The sequence below is a fragment of the Homo sapiens genome, chromosome 18 (genome assembly GCF_000001405.40).
Source record: "Homo sapiens chromosome 18, GRCh38.p14 Primary Assembly".
Lineage (NCBI taxonomy): Eukaryota > Metazoa > Chordata > Mammalia > Primates > Hominidae > Homo > Homo sapiens.
In genome coordinates, this window is record NC_000018.10 from 79589875 (window position 1) to 79610496 (window position 20622).

At 53.2% G+C, this 20622-nt stretch overlaps 3 annotated features.

The window, feature by feature from the left end:
- Positions 543-1382: an enhancer, noted in NCBI's record as "H3K4me1 hESC enhancer chr18:77350417-77351256 (GRCh37/hg19 assembly coordinates)". NCBI's record gives its function as "activates a minimal SCP1, AML or CMV promoter by ChIP-STARR-seq in naive H9 embryonic stem cells {active_cell/tissue: H9 hESC(naive)}" and the evidence as "EXISTENCE:reporter gene assay evidence [ECO:0000049][PMID:30033119]".
- Positions 2952-3036: a transcriptional cis regulatory region, noted in NCBI's record as "silencer 8 or peak_12841 region targeted for CRISPR/Cas9 genome editing". NCBI's record gives its function as "negatively regulates NFATC1 gene expression in K562 erythroleukemia cells {active_cell/tissue: K562}" and the evidence as "EXISTENCE:mutant phenotype evidence [ECO:0000015][PMID:32103011]".
- Positions 8379-9272: an enhancer, noted in NCBI's record as "H3K4me1 hESC enhancer chr18:77358253-77359146 (GRCh37/hg19 assembly coordinates)". NCBI's record gives its function as "activates a minimal SCP1, AML or CMV promoter by ChIP-STARR-seq in naive and primed H9 embryonic stem cells {active_cell/tissue: H9 hESC(naive and primed)}" and the evidence as "EXISTENCE:reporter gene assay evidence [ECO:0000049][PMID:30033119]".

A 20622-nucleotide genomic window follows, 5' to 3' on the forward strand; every position in this document is an offset into this window, starting at 1 on the left:
GCCCAGGCTTCAGTTTCCCTGCATTTCCCCGGGAGTAGGGGAGCCACGAGCAGTCCGTAGGTTCCCTCTTCCTCCCAGGGCCTCAGCACCAGATCCTGGAGCTCCGGACCCCGCAGTGGGTTCCCCAGCCTCACAGCCCTCCTGGGGCCCCACAGGGGAGGGACGCAAAGCTGGCTCTGCAGCTCCTTAGCGCGTGACCTCTGGCAACTTCAGCCTCTCCTGCCTCAGTTTCCCGAACTCTGAAGGGAGGGCGAGTGACACGATGATTCCTCAGCAGAGACCCCAGGCCTCTCTCTCCCACTGACCGCCCAGGGGAGTGAAAGTCCAGGACTCCGTGCATGCCTGGGGACCCGGGCAGTGGGGGAGCAGAACCGGGGACCCGGGCAGCGGGGGAGCAGAACTGCAGGCCCGGCCGCAGCACCTGCCCACCTTGCTGGTGAGGGGTGAAGGCTTCCAGGCCCTGGCCTCCACATCCAGACACCACCCTCACCCGTGCAGGAGCGGGACTCGAACCCACCTCTCTCGCCTCCTTGTGCTGCAGGGAACATTCAAGTCCTGATGTGGACTCTGTCCTGCTGCAGCAGGAAATCCAGAGATGCCTCTGCCACCACGGCAACGGGCTCTGGCCAGAGCAGCAGGAGGGAGCTGGGCCCACATGGCCGTCACCGTGGTTTGCCCACAGCTGCTGTTTCTGAGCCGTCACAGGGTCAGGGGCATCCAGGGAACACGCTGAGATGCAGCCTCTGCTGCAGCCCGACAGATGTGTAGCTGCTTCTGGAGCACGCCCGGGGAACACCCTTTCTTCCTATGGATGCCAGCTGGACTCACTGTGCAGACAGGGCCTGAACCAGACCAGAGGCACTGGCTTCTAGGCGAGGGACCTTCTCAGCACGGGACCTGCAGCTGCCTTTCCCACACTCACACAGGCTCTTCCCATTGTCCTAAGAACCCTGTGGAGGTACAGGCAGGGGTTATCCAAATGCTGACTCATGTGAGTCCGACAGGAGCATGGTGCCCGCCCGAGGAGTGTCGACCTCACGCTAGCCACTGTGATTATTGTCACTGTTACTGTGTGAGCTGCTCTGTTCGGGAGGGGAAGCCACGCTGAGGAGCAGCTGGGACACGTGCCTGGCCCTGCCCTCCAGCTGGCCTCCGTTCCACACATGAGAGCCTTGCCTAGAAGGCCCTTGGTGGTGGGGGGGGTGGGGGTTGGTGCCTGAGCCCCCCACCCTGCAGCTCTCCTCATTCTCGTGCAGTAGGTCCCCTTTGCTGTTGGACTTGCAGCTTCTGCAGGCAAGAACAAGGTGACGTCCCCTCCGTTCTCCAGCAGCAGCTGTGGGCCCACTTGGGGTAGAAGTGAATGAATGAGTGACAAACTGAGGATGCAGATGCCTCGGCTGCAGAGGAGCAAAGACAGACATTTCATTTGAAAGCTCGGAAACCACACAAGCAGGAAAAGAATGAAACGAAATATTTAAAGTGTTGAGAAAGGAAAAAATAGACCCCAACCTACAATTCTGTACCCTGTGAAGTTATCCTTTAAAGTGAAGGAGAAAAAAAAGACTTTCCCAGAAAAACAAAACTTGAGGGAATCAGTTGTCAATAAACCTGCCCTGTGAGAAATGAGAAAGGAAGCTCTTTAGAGTGAGAATACTACTCAGATCCAAAGACAGGAAGAATATTGGAAGAGGAAAAAGTAAAGTAAGATAAAAACACTGTTCCGATTCTCCACTGATCTAATAGATAAGTTTGTCCAAAGTAATAGCAACAATGCATTTGGTCATGTGTGCTTATATACATTAAATATGTATGCTGACATGTGTATATACACATGCTTGCCTAGGTATGCTAATGTGTGAGTGAAATCAATTGCAGCAATGACACAAAGGATGGGAGGAAAAAATTAAAGTGATTTTGTTATTAGAAGGTGTCACACTATCCATGAAGTGGTATTGTATTATTTGAAAATGGGCCTGGATTAGTTGTTCATGTATGTTATAAACTTTAGGGCAACCATTAAAAAAATTAAAAAGTATAACTGATATGCTAAGAAAGGAGAGAAAATGGAATCATATAATTAAAACCACAAAGGACAGAAAAAGAGTAGAAGACAAAAATAAGAACAGAGAACATGGGCAACAAATAGAAAACAGTAACAGACATGGTAGATATTAACCCAACTGTATCCATAATTACCTTGAATGTGAATAATGAAGATGCACCAGTTAAAAGATAGACTGTCCAGGAAGCAAGACCCAACTAGATATTGTCTATAAGAAACCCACTTTAAATATAGGTACATGTAGATTAAAAGTAACTGGATAGAGAGATTTCTACCCTGCTAACACTAAGAAAGTGGGAGTAGCTATATTAATTTCAGACAGTACACTTCGGAGTGAGGAGACGGTCGGGGATGAAGCAGAGCATTCCACAATGATAAAAGGGTCATTTCTCCAAAAAGATAACAATCCTGAAAGTGGGTGTGACTGCCAACAGAGCATCAAACTACATAAGGCAAAACGGATAGAAATGCAAGGAGAAATAGATGAGTCTACTATTAGAGTTGGAAACGTCAATGTTTCTCTATCAGAAATGGATAGATCCAGTAGGCAAAAGAAAAAAATCACTAAAGTCAAACTCAACACCATCAATCAAATGAATATAATTGACATCTATAGACTAGACTACTTCATCCAACAGCAGAATAACATCCTTCTGGAGCTCACCTGGAACATTCACCAAGACAGACCACATTTGGGTTATAAATCATACCTTAACAAATGTAAAAGAATTGTGTATTAGTCCACTTTCACACTGCTATAAAAGAACTATCTGAGACTGGGTAATTTATAAAGAAAAGAGGTTTAATTGACTCACAGTTCTACATGGCTGGGAAAGGCCTCAGGAAACTTACAACCATGGTGGAAGGCAAAGGGGAAACAAGGCATGTCTTACGTGGTGGCAGGAGAGAGAGAGCGAAGGAGGAAGTCATACCCTTTAAACCATCAGATCTCGTGAGAACTCACTATCATGAGAACAGCATGGGGGAAACCACTCCCATCATCCAATCACCTCCCAGCAGGTCCCTCCCTGGGTGAGAGCAGACATTGCCTGATTTCTGTTTGATATGGTTTGGCTCTGTGTCCCTACCCAAATCTCATCTCAAATTGTGGGGATTACAAATTTCAGATGAGATTTGGGTGGGGAGACAGAGGCAAACCATAGCAAATAGAAATCAGGCAATGTCTGCTCTCAGACCACAATGGAGCTAAACTAAAAACCAGTAACAGAAAGGTAACTAAAAAATCACAAAATACACAGAGACTAAACAACACATTTCTACATAACACATGAGACAAGAAATACCAAGGGAAATTTCAAAATGTTTTGAGCTAAATGAAAATGAAAACACAACTTATCAAAATCTGTGGGATGCAACAAAAGCAGTACTTAGAGGGAAATTTATAGCATGTATATATATTAGAAAAGAAGGAAGATCTAAAACCAATTACCTAACCTAGTCATCTTAGGAGACTAGAAAAAGAAGAGCAAATTGAATCCAAAGTAAGCAGAAGAAAAGACATAACACAAATTACAGCAGAAATCAATAAAATTGAAGACAGAAAATCAATAGAGAAAAGCAATGATACCAAAAGCTAGTTATTTGAAAAGACAAAGAAAATTGATATGCCTCTAGCTAGGCTAAGAAAGTAAGAGAGAGGACACAAATGAATATCAGAAATGAAAGAGGGGACATCACTATGTAAAAGGATTATAAGGGAGTACTATGAACAACTCTATGCCCATTTGTAACCTAGATGAAATGGACCAACTCCTTGAAAGACACAGTCTGTCAAAACTCACACAAGAAGAACTAGCCAATCTAAATAGACCCGTATCTATTGAAGAAATTGAATAAATAACTAACAACTTTCCAGGCCAGGCACCATGGCTCATGCCTGTAATTCCAGCACTTTGGGAAGCCAAGTCGGGAGGATCACTTGAGGCCAGAAGTTCAAGACCAGCCTAGCCAGCATGGCGAAACCACGTCTCTACTAAAAATCCCCAAAAAATTAGCCAGATGTGTTGGCACACACCTGTAATCCCAGCTACTTGGGAGGCTGAGGCAGGAGAATTGCCTGAACCTGGGAGGCAGAGGCTGCAGTGAACTGAGATCACACTACTGCACTTCAGCCTGGGCAACAGAGTGAGACTGTCTCAAAATTAATTTATTTATTAACAAGTTTCCAAATCAGAAAACATCAAATCTAGATGGGTTTACTAGTGAATTTTGCTTAACATGTGAGGAATAAATTGTGCCAATTCTCTACAACCTCTTTCAGAAGATAGAAGCAGAGAAAATATTTCCAAACTCATTCTATGAGGCCAGCATCACCCTACTACCACAACAAGATGAAGAAAAAACCACAGACCAATATATCTCATGAACATAGATGCAAAAATCCTCAGCTAAATATCATCAAATTCAATTCCATAATGTAGAAAGAGAATTACACACCAAGACCACATGGGACTTACCCCAGGTGTGCAAATCTGGTTCAACATTTGGAAATGAATAATGTAATCCATCACGTCAACATTCTTGGGAAGAAAAATTGCATTATCGCATCAAGAGATGCAGAAAAATCACTTGACAAAAAACCAGCACCCATCCATGATAAAAACTCAGTGAACTAGGAATATAGAACTTCTTCAACTTGCCATAGAATATCTACAATAATAATGGTGAGATACTCAAAGCTTTCCTACCAAGATCAGGAACAAGGCAAGGATGTCCTCTCTCACCTCTTTTCAATATCACACGAGAAATCCTAACTAATGCAATAAGACAAAAAAGGGAAATAAAAAGTATACTGATTGGAAAGGAAGAAATAAAACTGTCCACAGATAACATGATTATCTATGTAGAAAATCCAAAAGAATTGACCAAGAAAACAACAAAGAAAACCCTCCTGGAACTAATAAGCAATTATAGCAAGTTTGCAGATTATAAGATTAACATACAAAAGTCATTTGCTTTTGTGTATACTAGCAACGAACAAGGAATTTGAAATTAAAAACATAATACAATTACATTAGTTCCCTCAAATGAAATACGTAGGTATAAATCTAATAAAATATGTACAAGTTCCATATAAGGAAAACTACAAATCTCTGATCAACAAAATCAAACAAGAATAAAGAAATAGAGATCAGGAACAAGGCAAGGAGAGAGACCTCTCTCCTTGAGGACACTGCAAGGCTCACTGCAGCCTCTGCCTCCCAGGTTCAAGCAACTCAAGAGGCGAGGTTGCTTGAACTCTCAGCTCTTCTCTCATGTTCATGGACAGAAGATTCAATATTGTCAAGATGTTCATTCTTCCCAATTTGATCTATAGATTCAATTTTATCCTAGTCAAAATTTCAGCAAGTTATTTTGTGGATATTGACAAACTGATTTTAAAGTTGATGTGGAGAGGCAAAAGACCCAGAATAGTTAGCACAGCTCACTACAAAGAAAGGGTGATATTGGCAAAGGAAGAGACAAATCAACGGAGCAAAACAGAGACCTCAGACCTAGAGCCACATAGATACAGTCAACTGATATTTGACAGAGGAGCAGAGGCGATACAATAGAGAAAGATGGTCTTTCAAAAAATGGTGAACAACTGCGCACCTACATGCAAACAAATGAGTCTAGACTCAGACCTTTCACCTTTCACAAAAAATTAACTCAAAATGAGTCTCAGACTTAGACATAAAACACAAAACTACAAAATTCCTAGAAAAAAACGTAGGAAGAAATCTAGATGAGCCACACCAAAGGTATACATTGTGAAAGAATTAGTAAGCTAGACTTTCTTAAAATTAAATTTTTTTTGCTCTGCAAAAGAACACTGTCAAGAGTGATGAGAAGAGAAGACACAGACTGGGAGGAAATATTTACAAAAAACACATTTGATAAAGGGAAAAATACGAAGAACGCTTAAGAGTCAACCATAAGAAAAGCCCAGTTTAAAAGTGGGTCAGAGACCTTCGTGGACCCCTCGGAAGATGGCAGATACACATATGAGAAGATGCCCCGTCACAGTCGTCAGGGAAATACAAGTTAAAATGAGGAGACACCTTCACGCGCCTGTTAGAACAGCCGGCCTCCAGAACACCGGCAGCATCAAGGACCAGTGACGACGTGGGGCTGCAGGAACGCTCATTCGCTGCTGGAGGGGATGCAGATAGCACGGCCACTTCGGGAGACAGTTTGGGAGCTGCTTACAAATGTAAACATGGGCTCTGACCCTGTGACCCAGTGTGCACGCACCTTGGTACCTGCCCAAAAGAGCTGAACTCCTTCGTCCACACGGAAACCTGCACTCAGAGGTTCACACAGCTTTCCTCTCACTGGCCCAACGGGGATGCGATCAAGATACCCTTCAGTCGGTGAATGGATAAACTGGGCACTTCCAGGCAGCGGAGTGTCACTCAGCGCTAAAACAGAAAAGGAAGCATCAAGACATGAAAAGACAGGGAAGCAGCTTGAATCCACAGCACTAAGGGAGCAAAGCCAGTCTGAAAAGGCTACTCACCGCGTGAGTCCAACTAGATGACATTCTAGGCAAAACTACGGAGACAGTAGAACGATGACAGGTAGCCAGGGGCTTCGGGAGAGAAGGACAAACAGGCAGAGCACAGAGGATGTTTAGCAGTGAAACTGCTCCGGGGGACACCACAGGGCAGATGCCTGCGATCACACGTTTGTCCAAACCCACGGAGTGAGTGGCCCCAGGAGGGAGCCCCGTAGTGAGCTCCGGGATCCGGACCATCGGATGCGTCCGTGCGGGTTCATCGCCCGGCACAAATGCACGTCTCCAGCCTGGGAGGTTGGTGGTGGGGGAGGCTGTGCCTGTGTGGGGGCAGGAGGCATATGGAAACTCTCTGGACCTTCTTCTCCATGTTTCTGTGACTGTAAAACTGCTCTGAAAAAGTAGTCTTTTAAGAAAAATCAAACATTAAAAAAAAGAGGCATAAACAATGTCTACGATCACCCAGAACCTAAGTGTCAGCTGGGATTGAAACCTGCGTCATGGGTTTGGTCTGAGGGTGACATTGATGGGAGGTCACCTGGCTCTGCTCCAGCGCCTGACCCGGCTCCAGCACCTCGCCCAGCTCCTGACCCGGCTCCAGCATCTCACTCCCTGGGCTGCCCGGACCACAGGAGGTGTGGAGTGGGAGCATTTTCATCAGTCCCCAGAAGGCAGGATGGGGAGCTGCTCGTGGTCCCTGGAGGAGTAGCACCCACTATCCCCAAGACAAATGCCCGCAGTTCACCACCTCTAAGATCTGATGTGATCTAGACAAAGGCATTTCAAATCCATGACTCAGGAAAAGCAGGGGAATTAATGGCGGGTTTGAGGGATGGGGGGCCCTCCCTGCCTGCATCGTGTCCAAATTCGCACCCAGGGAGACGCAGACCCCATGTCTCCTCTCCTCCGGGAAAGCACACATCACACGCTGGCATCCGACAGTTTCTGCAGCGAGGGTCGCTGTGTGGGATAGAAGGTCCTTCGGAAGTGTCTGTGGAACAAGGTGCACTGTTACTGAGCTACATATTTATATATAAAGTGCAGGGAGAAGTTCATGATGACATTGCACAAGATTCAGACTGGTCTGTGATGGAAAACCAAGGCTGAGCCCAGGCAGCGTGGGGGACCCCGTGCTCTGTCCTTGTGGGAGCAGAGCCTGTCAGAACAGCCAAGGGCTGTGTGACCCGGAACAGCTGCCTCTGCCTGAGCTCGCGGGGGTCCCACAGGTTCCGGACTCCCTCGTCCAAAAATCTGTGATGAGGCAGATGCCAGGGAGCTGAGAACGCGCCCACTTCCTGCTGGGGGCCACCCAGCCTCCTCCTGAGGAAATGCTGGTGTGGAGCTGGGCACTCTTGTCCAGCCGTGGACCTCACAGGGGTGGGGATGAGGGTGAGACCCGAGGTCATGAGCTGGGGGCACCACCCATGCCCGGGCACTGACAGCGGGTGGCTCGCAGTGAACCCAGCATCGCCTCCATGGCCTGTCATCATCGGGACTCTGCCGCAAGTGAAGACGTGCTTGTGTCCCAGGGTACAAGCCGCCAAAGCCCCAGAGGAGGACGAGGAGGACACCCCCGGGAGAGGGCCGGGAGCTCACAGCAGGGTGGGCACCAGGTAGGAGGCCTTGAAGGACAGCGGGGATCCCCAAAGCCAGGAAGGTGTGCACCATGTAAGGAAATCTCACTCACAAGGGATGAGAAATCGTCGTCCCTCCCTCGGCTCAGATTAGCCAAGATGGCAAGTCACATCCAGGGTGAAAGCCACAGCACCGGCCCTGGTTTGGGATGACACCGCGGCTGTGATCTCGGCAGCCACAGGCTTCCCCGTCCGACTCGGCCGAGAAGCCTCTCCTGCCACCTCTGAGCTCTAGGCTTGGACTCTGGAGTGGTTGCTGGAGTCACTTCCCACCGTGCCGGGCAAGGGCTGCAGGAGGGCACAGCGTGCGGGACGCTGGCAACTCACAGCTGCCTCCCAGCCACACCCCCCACCTCCTGCAGGCTCCAGGGCCCTTTGTCTCTGAGAACGAGAGCTGCATCTTGTCCAGTGGGTTTCACAGGTCTCAGGACTGGGAATGGCGCTGGGCGCGTGGACAGGTGAAGTCCATTGTTCCTGCTGCTGCCGGTGTGAGCCGCAGCCCACGCCCACCACCAAGGAGGCAGAACGGCGGTGTGAATGGAGAACCACTCATTTGCCAAATCATTTAAATCAGACTTTTCACAGCTGAGAATGCCACCGCAAAGCACAAATGACTTTGTTCCAGAGAGAAAAGGGAGAGCAGGGCACCGAGGCAGACCACGGGAACACGAGCAGCGCCTTCCACGCTGTCCGGGCAGGGCACCGAGGCAGATCAGACTGCAGCACAGTGTCTGGGGAGCCCTCTCGACCAGTAAGGAAAGTGGCACTTGAGGCTGAGAGGAAGAGAGCGATTCCAGGTGAAAGGACTATTTTTAAAGACTCCCCAGCTAGCCGGTCTGTTTCTTCATTAATTTTCCTTAAAAGCTCCACTTGTGAGACAGGCAAATGCTCGCCACCTGCCCCCGCCCCCGCCCCCATCATAAACCAGCGCACCTGGAGGCAGGGGCTCGAGGCAGGCAGGCCTGGGAAGGTGGTGGGGCTTGCAGCAGACGGGCCTGGGAAGGTGTCGGGATGTGCACCATGACCCACCTCCCGGGATGACCACAGAGCTGGGGGTGTATTTTCTGCACTTTTTAAAACGACTGAAGCATTTCTAAGGTCAAAGTGGAAGGTTCAAATAGCCCAGCCAGAGCCCAGAGCAGCCCCTGGAACGTCCTCTCCAACACATTTACAAGGAAAAACCATCTGATTGAAAGCGAGAGACTCCGTGGTCACGTCCGTAATTGGCCAGAAAATCACCCATGAAGGCAGTGTGTTGTTTGAACTATGTCTTATTCCAAAAGAATTTCATTAAAGCAATTATATTTTAATAAATGTGGGAGGTTACAGATGGCACTTCAGTTCATAACAGAGCCTGTATGCCCTGGCAATTAGCAGCGGAAAATGAGCAGGACTGAGCCCATCGTTGTGCCTGCGTAATGTTTTCATTACAGGAGTTACAAATAATCTATTACTCTTCCTCTAAACACCCAGCAACATGCAAGCATTCCTCACCTCAAAGTCGGTTCTAAGTAAACAAAATAAGATGCCAAGAGGCAGCGTGTCAGCATAGGATTTACGGAGTGAATCAGAGGCCTTTGTACGATTGAAGACATCGTTAGCCCTCGGGAGCCAAGTGTGGCAGCACTGGGAGCCGGCCTCACCACCGTGCAACTCTGCCTGTCCAGCCTGGTGGGTCTTTCTGGAAAGGTCCGTCTGCCCGGGTCCTGCCTGCCCCCTGCCACTGCTGTCGGAGGAGCCTCAGGGACCCCAGTGGGTCCTGTCCCTCGGGAACCAGCTGCTGCCACGGCCGCCACAAGCCACGTCCCAGAATGAGGGGCTCCCTCAGGAGGAGCGTGTGGCAGAGGAGAAACTCCCCAAGCCTTTCAGACAAAAATGTTAGGTCTATTGAACTCTCCTGAGTGGCAGACGGAATGGGATGGCCCAAATCCGAAAGAACATCTGGAATCTCATCTTTCATCTTCTCCAACAGAAATGGACACCAGACTGGCTTTTGCCAAGAATATCACAGCCCTGGCATGATTTTTTAAGATCTATACATTTATGGTAAATTTCTTCAAAACCAAATATTACAGAATTAACGAGGCTGGGGCTGGGCTCTGGGGAGGGGAGGTCCAAATAGACCTGCTGGGAGCAACCCTGGGACCCCCTCTGGAGTCTCCTGTTCTGTGGGGGAGACCCTGACTCTCAGGACGCAGCAGTGGGCGGAGTGCGGTGGGTGACAGGGACATGGCCCGTGGGTGTTGGAGCCACTATCAAGACGGCTGAGGTGGGAGATCCCTGGGAGACTTGGCCCTGGGCCACTGGCAGAGGGCAGAGGGGTGTCTGTGTCTGAGGTCAGGCAGCCTCTGCCAAGGCACCTGTGCTGAGAAGCCACTGGTCCCTGGAAGCCACCTCCCTTCAGACATAGATGGCCCTTTTTGTCTTGACTGCTAGGAAGCTGAGTGTTCAAAGGTTACCACTCTCTGAATCCCACGACACCTGCCCTCCGCCATCATCTTATCCCTGTGGAGTTGTCTGTTCTTGATTGAGAACAACCTCAAATCCCTTTTGGAAACAAATGGGCAATAAATGAATGTGTGGTGGGAGCTCAGGCCCCCAGCTGGCTAGGAGACTCTTCCCCCACCCACAGGGGGTCCCTCCACACAGCTCCCAGACCCCCACCTCTCTCACATCCTTCCCCCACCCACAGGGGGTCCCTCCACACAGCTCCCAGACCCCCACCTCTCTCAGACCCTTCCCCCACCCGCAGGGGGTCCCTCCACACAGCTCCCAGACCCCCCACCTCCCTTCTCAGACCCTTCCTCTGCACACAGGGGGTCCCTCCACACAGCTCCCAGATCCCCCACCTCTCTTCTCAGACCCTTCTCCGAGAAATGTCTTTGAATATCAGGACTAAGCTCTAATTTTTTATCTTGCCCCAATTCCTATCTAAGGGGTCTAGGGAGTCATACCCTTCAACCATAAATTCTCATCAGATGGGTCTTATTTGACCCTATATATATCGTGACTTACTTTCCAGTCTGACTCTGGCATAACATTATAAGACAATAAAAAAATCAAAATATTTCATCCCAAAATATATTTCCTTGCCAGACCTTGAAATTGCCCTGCAAAGTCTCTTGTGGGAAAAATCCACATTCTATAGCGAATCCCCTTCCCCTTTGTTTTCCTTCCTTCCTTTGCAGATCCAGGAGATAATTAGCTAAGAGCCAGGCACCTTTTAGGTCTGATAAGAAACATTTCACAATCTGCTCCCTCTGAAGTCTGCTATCTGAGAGCTTCCTCTGCACAATAAGACTTGGTCTCCGCAGTCCTTTATCTCAACCTCGCATTTCCTCTCTGTTGATCCCAGGTCTTCTTAAACTCAACCAACTGTCAACCAGAAAATGTTTGAATTCACCGATAGCCTGGAAGGCCCCGCTCTGAGTTGTCCCGCCTTTCTGAACCCAACCAATGTATTTCTTCAATGTATTTGACTGATGTCTCGTGACTCCCTAAAATATATAAAACCAAGCTGTACCCCGACCACCTTAGGCACATGTTCTCAGGACCTCCTGAGGGCTGTGTCACAGGCCAAGGTCACTCATATTCAGCTCAGAATAAATCTCTAAAAATATTTCAAGGAGTCTGACTCTTTTCGTCAACAAATGTACAAAGCAGTTGAAACACAGTATCAAAACAGTTATGAAAGTTTTTTTTTTTTTTTTTTGAGACGGAGTCTCGCTGTCGCCCAGGCTGGAGTGCAGTGGCATGACCTCGGCTCACTGCAAGCTCCGCCTCCCGGGTTCACGCCATTCTCCTGCCTCAGCCTCCCAAGTAGCTGGGACTACAGGCACCTGCCACCATGCCCGGCTAATTTTTTGTATTTTCAGTAGAGACGGGGTTTCACCGTGTTAGCCAGGATGGTCTCGATCTCTTGACCTCATGATCCACCCACCTCGGCCTCCCCAAGTGCTGGGATTACAGGCGTGAGCCACCGCACCCGGCCTTCTTTTTTTCTTTACTTTTCTTTTTTTTTTTTTTTTCCTGAGACAGAGTCTCGCTCCTTTGCCCAGACTGGAGTGCAGTGGCGCGATCTCAGCTCACTGCAACCTCCCACTCCTGGGTTCAAGTGATTCTCCTGCTTCAGCCTCCCCAGTAGCTGGGGTTATAGGCACGCGCCACCACACCCAGCTAATTTTTGTATTTTTAGTAGAGACAGGGTTTCAGTATGTTGGGCAAGCTGGTCTCAAACTCCTGGCCTCAAGTGATCTGCCCACCTCGGCCTCCCAAAGTGCTGGGATTACAGGTGTGAGCCACTGCACCCGGCCAAAAGTATTTCTTAAGAAACAAAATCATAATGCAGTGATACATCCTTTCACACCCGAGCAGTAAGAGCAGCGTCCCTCGGTGGTTCCAGTGAACTCCATCATTCCACGTAGGGACGGGCAGACAGTGTTGTTAGTGATTTGCAACAGCTGCAGTGTACAAGAAACCACAACTTCTAGGGCAGGGGATTTAGCTCGCAGCATGAAGAAATGTCAGCTTCTTTCCTGTCTCCATGTTCTCCTGCTTTGACCCCAATCCTGCCTGGGCCCTTCAGTGGGTCCCAGCTCCCAGATGGGTCTGGGAGAGACCCCGCCCCTGCCCTGGCCCTGATCCCTGACCCAGGAGCCTTGCCGCTCATTCAGGCTGCAGGCCGAGCCAGGTACCTTCCAGCTACCCTCGACTATTCTGAAATACACATTTGGCCTTCCTCCCTATTTCCTGGCATACAACTCCTAAAGTCCCTGGGGTCTCATAAGTGATGTCTGTTTGTCTGCTAAGGAGATGACAGTGCTTGGCTACTCAAGCTGATCCCCAGCAGGACTGTCAGGGGGCTTCCGGATAATGGACTCTGGAGGTTCCTGGAGGGCGAGTGCCCAGGGAGGGCCTGGGAACTCCGGCCCCTTCCCCACACCTCGCCCCATGCGCCTCTCCATCTGTATCCTTTGCAATACCATCTATAATAAACCTGGTACACGTAAGTGCGTGTCCCTGAGTTCCGCAGCTGCTCTAGAGAATTAATCGAACCCAACCGGGGAAGGGGTGGGGGGGGTGGGGGCGTGTCATAGGAACCCAGCCTGTGGGCCAGAAGTTCCGAAGGCTCAGACTTATACCGCTGGTGTCTGAAGTGGGTGTGGGTATGGGGAAGAGTCTTGGGGACTGAGCCCATAGCCTGTGGTATCAGACACTGTCTCCTGGGGAAAGAGTCAGAATGAATTGAACGCAGTTGGAGGGTTCCTGCTGGTGTCTGTGCAGAACCGACTGTTTGCTTGGCGTGTGGGAAAAACCCCACACGTCTGGTCATGGAGTCTCTGTTGATTGTTGTGGGTAAGAGCAGAGAAAAGTCTGTTTCTTCTACTCAGGACCCCCAGGGCCACAGCCCCTCCCCGCTGAGATCCTGCCAGGCGGGAGTATCCGCAGGAGCCTGTGTAGCCCCATCTCCACCCCTGCCCGTAGCCACAGAGCGAAATACAAGCAGTTGCTTTTGGTCCTGCAATTCCAAAGCCCCTTCCCCAGGCAGGAGACCTGGAGGTCTGGCCACCTTCCTGCAGTGCCGCCCTCCGCCCCCGCCCTGAGAGGGACTGCGGCGTTCTTGCTGGCGGGGTCTTGGGTCACTGGCACGGACGCCCCTCCCAGGCCTGCGCTCTTGCTGGCGGGGTCTTGGGTCACCGGCGTGGATGCCCCTCCCAGGCGGTGGGCTTTTCCAGGGCCTGCAGGGCTGGGTGGGTGCCTGTGAGGGCCCTGTGTCTGGAGCTCCACACGCGGCCGCAGTCCCAGCTCACTGGTTCAAGCAGAAGTTCTCCCACAGGCAGCGGCAGAGACTCCCTTCAGACCAGAACGTGGGCTGTTCACCCCGCAGGCCGTCCCCGCCTGGCACCTCCAGGATGGCGACCGCCCGGCTCCCTGAGGCTTTCCTGGGTTTTGCTCTGAAAGCCCCACACCCTGGAAACCCCTCAGTCCTGGGCAAATTGGCCGCCCTAAGGCCCAGCCTTCCTGAGATCCTCAGCCGGCCTCTGCCTCACAGCTTTGGAGAAGTTGCCTAGGGTCCCTTCGAGGAGCCGAAGGCCTGGCAGGATGAGTCCCCAGAGGGCAGCGTGAGGCCACCACACCCACCCAGGTGAGGTCCCAGGCTCCTCTGTGAGCTGCATCCCTGTAGCCTGTCCTGAGACCGTCCTGGCAAAGAACCACACACTGGGGACTTAAAGCAATGGCACGTCACCCTCTCCCAGCTCTGGAGGCCCCAAGCCTGAAACTAAGGTGCCTCCGAAGGCTCCAGGGGAGGATCCTTCCTGCGTCTTCCAGTGTCCCCAGGCGTTCCGGGCTTGTGGCTGCGTCATTCTGCCCTCTGCCCCCTGGGCACGCAGCTGACTCCCCTGTATGGGCCCATCTCTCCGAATTCACATGACCGTCCTTCGGTAAAGACACCAGCACCAGTCCCTGACTCCGGGCCTTCCCTAACCCAGTGTGGCCTCATCTTAACTAAAGATGTCTGCATCGACCCTATTTCCAAAAAAGGTCCCATTTGAGCTTCCTGAAGGACACGAATTTGGGGTACTGCTCAGCCCAGTACTCCAGTTTCTGCAACAGACAGCAGAGCCCCCACCGTGTCTCTGTGGCCAGGACAGTGCCCCTCACCAGCTGGACTCTGAGGTCCTGGGACCCCCAGGGGAACCTGGGCCGTGGGTCTTTCAGCTGTGAGTGTTCTTTATGGACACCGTCTGCCGAGGGCAACTCTGACCCCCAAACTCTCAGCAGCCAAATGTCCCTGGGACACCCCCACCTGTGCTGAACAGCGCTTCCCAGGGGGACCACAGGCCTCAGGGCACACTGCTGATAGATGCGCACACACACGTGTGCACACACATGCACACATACACACGCATGCACACACAAATGCACACATACACACGTGTGCGCGCACACAGGCACACATACACACGTGTGCACGCACACATGCACACACATACACGTGTGCACGCACACATGCACACACATACACGTGTGCACGCGCAAATGCACACATACACACGTGTGCGCACACACATGCACACACATACACACGTGTGCACACACAAACCCTGCTTCAGAGCTCAGCCCTGGAGGAGCATCACGCTCGCCCAGCCTCCTCACATTTCTGTACTTCTTCAGTCAGTTACAAGAGTATGGATTCTTGGACGCTTACTTTATGTCTTTGTAACCCAACACTACTTTATTTCTTGAGGGTGTAGCATCCAACCAAATTCTCCGGAGTTCTTCTGTAAGGGGACTCTGTCTCTTCTCCCCTAAACTTACTATTTAGCATAATGATTCTTAAGCTTTAGAGAAAGCCATTGTTTAGTATTTGTTGGCAGCGTGAACATAGTTTATCATCTTTTCCATCAGAAAATGCAGCACAGCACAGCTGTCCTCTGTCTCCACCTGTGTGCCCAGAGCCAGGGATGCCCCTCCTCGCCCTCCTGCGCAGCAAAGCTTCCCTCTGCCTCCCCCAGGGCTCCTTCTCTGCATTTGCCCGTGGCCCGGAGCCCACCCTGCTCTGCTCATCCAGCACCTGGACCCCTCGCCGGCTCCCGAGCTCGTGCCTTGGCTTCCCCACTGGGTCTGCGCTCCTCTGTGTGCTGGGGCTCCCACACCCAGTCTGCGTTCCCCGCCAGGTCTACGTTCCCCGCCAGGTCTGCGTTCCCTGCCAGGTCTACGTTCCCTGCCAGGTCTGCACTCCTCACCTGGTCTGCCTTCCTCACCTGGTCTCTGCTCCTCACCTGGTCTCTGCTCCTCACCTGGTCTGCGCTCCTCACCTGTTCTCTGCTCCTCACCTGGTCTCTGCTCCTCGCCTGGTCTGCGCTCCTCACCTGGTCTGCGCTCCTCACGTGGTCTGCGTTCCTCACCTGGTCTGCGCTCCTCACCTGGTCTGCGCTCCTCACCTCACCTGGTCTGCGCTCCTCACCTCACCTGGTCTCTGCTCCTCACCTGGTCTCTGCTCCTCGCCTGGTCTCTGCTCCTCACGTGGTCTGCGTTCCTCACCTGGTCTGCGCTCCTCACGTGGTCTGCGTTCCTCACCTGGTCTGCGCTCCTCACCTCACCTGGTCTCTGCTCCTCACCTGGTCTCTGCTCCTCACCTGGTCTCTGCTCCTCGCCTGGTCTCTGCTCCTCGCCTGGTCTGCGCTCCTCACCTGGTCTGCGCTCCTCACCTGTTCTCTGCTCCTCACCTGGTCTGTGCTCCCCACCTGGTCTCTGCTCCTCACCTGGTCTGTGCTCCTCACCTGGTCTGCGCTCCTCACCTGGTCTCTGCTCCTCACCTGGTCTCTGCTCCTCTGCTCTGTGTCGCCTCTGGCCCTGCTGTCACCACTGCTCCCAACCTCCTCCACATCCCAGTTCTCCAGGACTGCAGTCCATGTGCGAAAATGCACAGACCCAGGACACTCGTGGAGACTGCGAAATGGTGAAAGGGTGTGGGGCAGGGAAACAACTCTGGCCAGGGCCAGCCCGGCTCCCCACGGCCCTGGCAGCTCCTCACACGTCCAGCTGCACAAGGCACTGAGATTGCACACGGAGGAGCCTCAATGGCCTGCGGGATTCATGGCTGCTGGCCAGAGACACGACCCTCCAGGGTGGTTTTCACAGCAATGGTGGTTTTGAGGATTGGAGCCAGGCCCGGGACCTGCACACACACAGGGAGCCCTGGCAGGGAGACCCCAGATCCCAGGCGGAGGGAGCCACTGCCCCGGCCCAGGCGAGGCACCGTCTCTGCCTCCTGCAGATGTCTTTGAAAAGATCATCTGGACATGCCACAAGAGGCCGTGGAGTGCTGTCCCCGACAACCCGCCCTCAGAGTCCCCGCGTGTGAAACGCCAAGAGGGTTCCATGAGGTGAGGAAGGAAGACGGCGCCGCGGGGGGTGCCCGGCGTTCACAGCGCTCACAGGAGCCTGCCCAGCCCTTCCGCCAGGCCTGGGGCGGCCGAGCACAGACCACACATGCTCTGCCTCTTGCCCCACAGCCTGTGGAGACACAACAGCAGCCACGCGGCAGGCAGGGCCTCCAGCTAACTCTTGTGCACACACTAATGCACACCAGCAACACGCCAGGGGCCTCAAGGGCCAGGGCACAGGGAGGGACCTCTGCTCCTGGGACAGCAGCCCTGTGGGGGGATCCAAGGCCTGAGCCCCGGTGAGCAGCTCCATCAGGGCCCGAAGGCCCCGTCTCCATGGGGCCAGAGGGACGGAGGCTGATCACTCGAGCCAGGCACTTCCCACAATCTTCCTGTCCCTGCCCTCAGTACCCCTGAGGAGCGTGGCCCCCTCCTCACTGTGGGTCCAGGCCCAGAGAGGAGGGCGCTGGGGCTGCTGGGCCTTTTGGGGCAGGCCACGGGCACCCTCAGCTCCGCAGAGACTCCTGAGAGCCAGGGAGATGCCTTAGAAAGGAAGCTCCAAGTCTTCTTGCTGGAAGCTTTCAGCACCGAGTGCAGATGCCAGCCCCAGTCCTTGGCCCACGGACCAGGGCACAGGAGTCTGAAGCCACTCACAACATCCCCTCCTCCAGGGCTTAAAACGCAGCCGGGGCTCACGCCCTCTTGGGGGCTTCCGCGTGGCCTGTACCTGTGAGGATGCCGGCAGGCTTGGCGCACGGGTGGCTCCGGGGTCAACTCCACGGGCGCTGCCCCCACCCTCGCTCCCGCAGTGCCTGAGCCCCACTGCCCTCCCCACTGCTGGTGTGCGTGCACCTCAGGCCCCTCCGGGAGCTGCACAGAGTTCACGCCGGGTCAATCCACCATCCACTGCATGGAGAGGCCAGCGGCCTGGGGCAGCTGTGCTGGGTAAGGCAGCGAAACCCTTAATCTAATGATGTTTTTCTCCAACTGCAACCCTTGCACGCTAGGAGCCACTCTCTCTTAATTAAGCTCAGCTCCCACATGCTTTTAACCATGCAACTTTAAAAGAAACATGTATCTTTCCAAATTAACTTTGTGTCTAAGAATAATAAGAGAGCAAGAGTTGTACTAATTAACTTACAGTCGGCTACAGAACTCATTTGCCAGTGCCGTGTAGGCTTCAAGGGGAGCCGACATTTATTCAGTACAGAGGACATTCCAGGGCACTGGTCCCACCTGGGCATCACCCCTTGTTTCCACAGAGCCCCGAGGGTCTCAGAGGCAGGAGCCCGGGGACAGTGCGGAGCTGGGACTAGGATCAAGTGTGTCTCCCTTCCGAGCCCATTCCATATTCCAGAAGGATCCAGAGCCTTCCCTCCCACATGCCAGCTCACGGCATTGGCTACAGTAATAGTCAGTCTGCCTAGAGTGTGTGCTTTTGATTGAAAAAGCCAGGAGAAAATCTTTTTCAAAGAGTGGAATGTTCGAAGAATGGAAATCTGTGAAAATCAGTCGTGTGATTTCTCAGGGCTCATTTCCATGAGCCGCAGTTACATTCTCGACTGTGGCCAAGGACGCTGCCTGCCCAGCCTTCGCAGGGTGAGGCACAGGTACACGCGGTTTCCGGGACCTGGCCACGGGCCACTCTCCAGGACTGACTGCAAGGACCTTCACCTCCGAGGAGCCGGGAGAGACGGAGACACCCAATCTGAGATGTTCTGACAGCTGCTTCACAGGCTGAGCTGCGGGAGGATGGCAGCGCCCTTCCTCCACGCTGAGCTCCGGAGCTTGGAAGCTGAGGCCACCAGCTCCGTCCCGGCCAAGCTCTGAGCATCACAAGCTCAGAAGGAACAAACTGCAGAGTCCATGCTGGACACAGAGCGCAGGGAGAGACCCCTTGTCCCTCACCCATGGCACGGAGCATGTGATGGCAGATGCCTCTGCTCCAAGACAAAATGGGCAATGCCTTTGCAACTGACCAAGCAAACGCAGACACCAGAACTGCTTTCTAAAATTCCAGGGCTGTAAATCTCACATGCCCCAAGCAGGCAGAAAAACAGAAGAACGCTCTTACGGAGCGAGTGTACCCAGGGGTTTCCTGGACTTGGAGGGGGCTGAGCCTGGGAGGAGGAGGGGCTGCGTGTGTGGGCAAAGTTGGCGGAGCTGGTTGCTGCATGGCTGAGGGAAGGGGCTGAGAGGCCGTCAAGGCTCACCTGGACGTTCAGTGGCTTCCCAGTGCTTCCCCTCCAGCCTGCAGCCGCCTGCACCAACAGCTGGGCCCAGGTGGGATTTTCCAGCACGGGAGGGGCGAGGCAGCTTCCCCAGGCCGAGAGGCTGAGGAGAGCAGCACCCAGCAGCAGGTGGACCTGAGGTGGGAACACAGCTCAAAGGAAATGGCAGCAGCCAGTGTCTGTGAGGGGACTGGCCATGTGGGCCCAGCTTTGGGGCTCAGGGAGGCCCCAAGACTCCCCACAGAGTGAAGCTGGGCCAGGTCAGATGCAGAGCCACAGCCCCGGACACACGACAGAGATACGGATGCAGAGACACACGCCCTACACAGCCCCCAGAGCAGTGACCTCGGCATTGGTGACTGCAAAGCAGGGGCCAGTGCGCTCCAAGTGATGCCATGTCATTGAAAATCCTCACATTCTGTAGAACACGAGGCCTTTGCTGTGGTTTATGGCCAGTTCTAGAGATGCCTAGGCTCTTGCCACTGGTGTCCCCAGAAAAGGGGGGACTCATAGAAGAGAAGGGGCCCCTGTGATGAACAACTGGGCCCTTCCCCCCCAGCCCAGGGTAAACGGCCCCTCCGTAAGCCCCAGGAAGACGGGACCCCACATGCTCCAGGAAGACAGGACCCCACATGCCCCGGGAAGACAGGACCTCATGTGCTCCAGGAAGATGGGACCCCTTGTGCCCCACCGTGACCACAGGACACCGTGCACTCTCAGGCGCGCCATCCTCCCTGACTGACCGAGCTCCCCCAAGGCCGTCATCACCTCCTGGGTAAGGGCTTTGCCTGGGTGAGTGGAAAGTGACCGCGAAGGACTTGCTCCGGGCTGGGCTGGGGCCTGTCTCAGCACAGTGGCCAGGCTGGTGGCCTTGGCTGGTCAACGTGCCTCCCAATTGGTGTCCCTGCTGCATCTGCTGCTAGATGTGGGTCAGGACCCCAGAGCATAGGGCTGAGCTCGGGGCCTGCTCCAGCAAGTGCCTTTCTTCGTGGTAAAGCCCCCGCCACTGAGCCACCCCAGGCAGGCTGAGCCCCCGCCACTGAGCCACCCCAGGGCAGGCTGAGCCCCCGCCTCTGAGCCACCCCAGGCAGGCTGAGCCCCCGCCTCTGAGCCACCCCAGGCAGGCTGAGCCCCCGCCTCTGAGCCACCCCAGGCAGGCTGAGCCCCCGCCTCTGAGCCACCCCAGGCAGGCTGAGCCCCCGCCTCTGAGCCACCCCAGGACAGGCTAAGCCCCGGCCTCTGCTGCTCTCTGGACCCCGGCATCTGAGAGCAGAGGGTGGGGCCA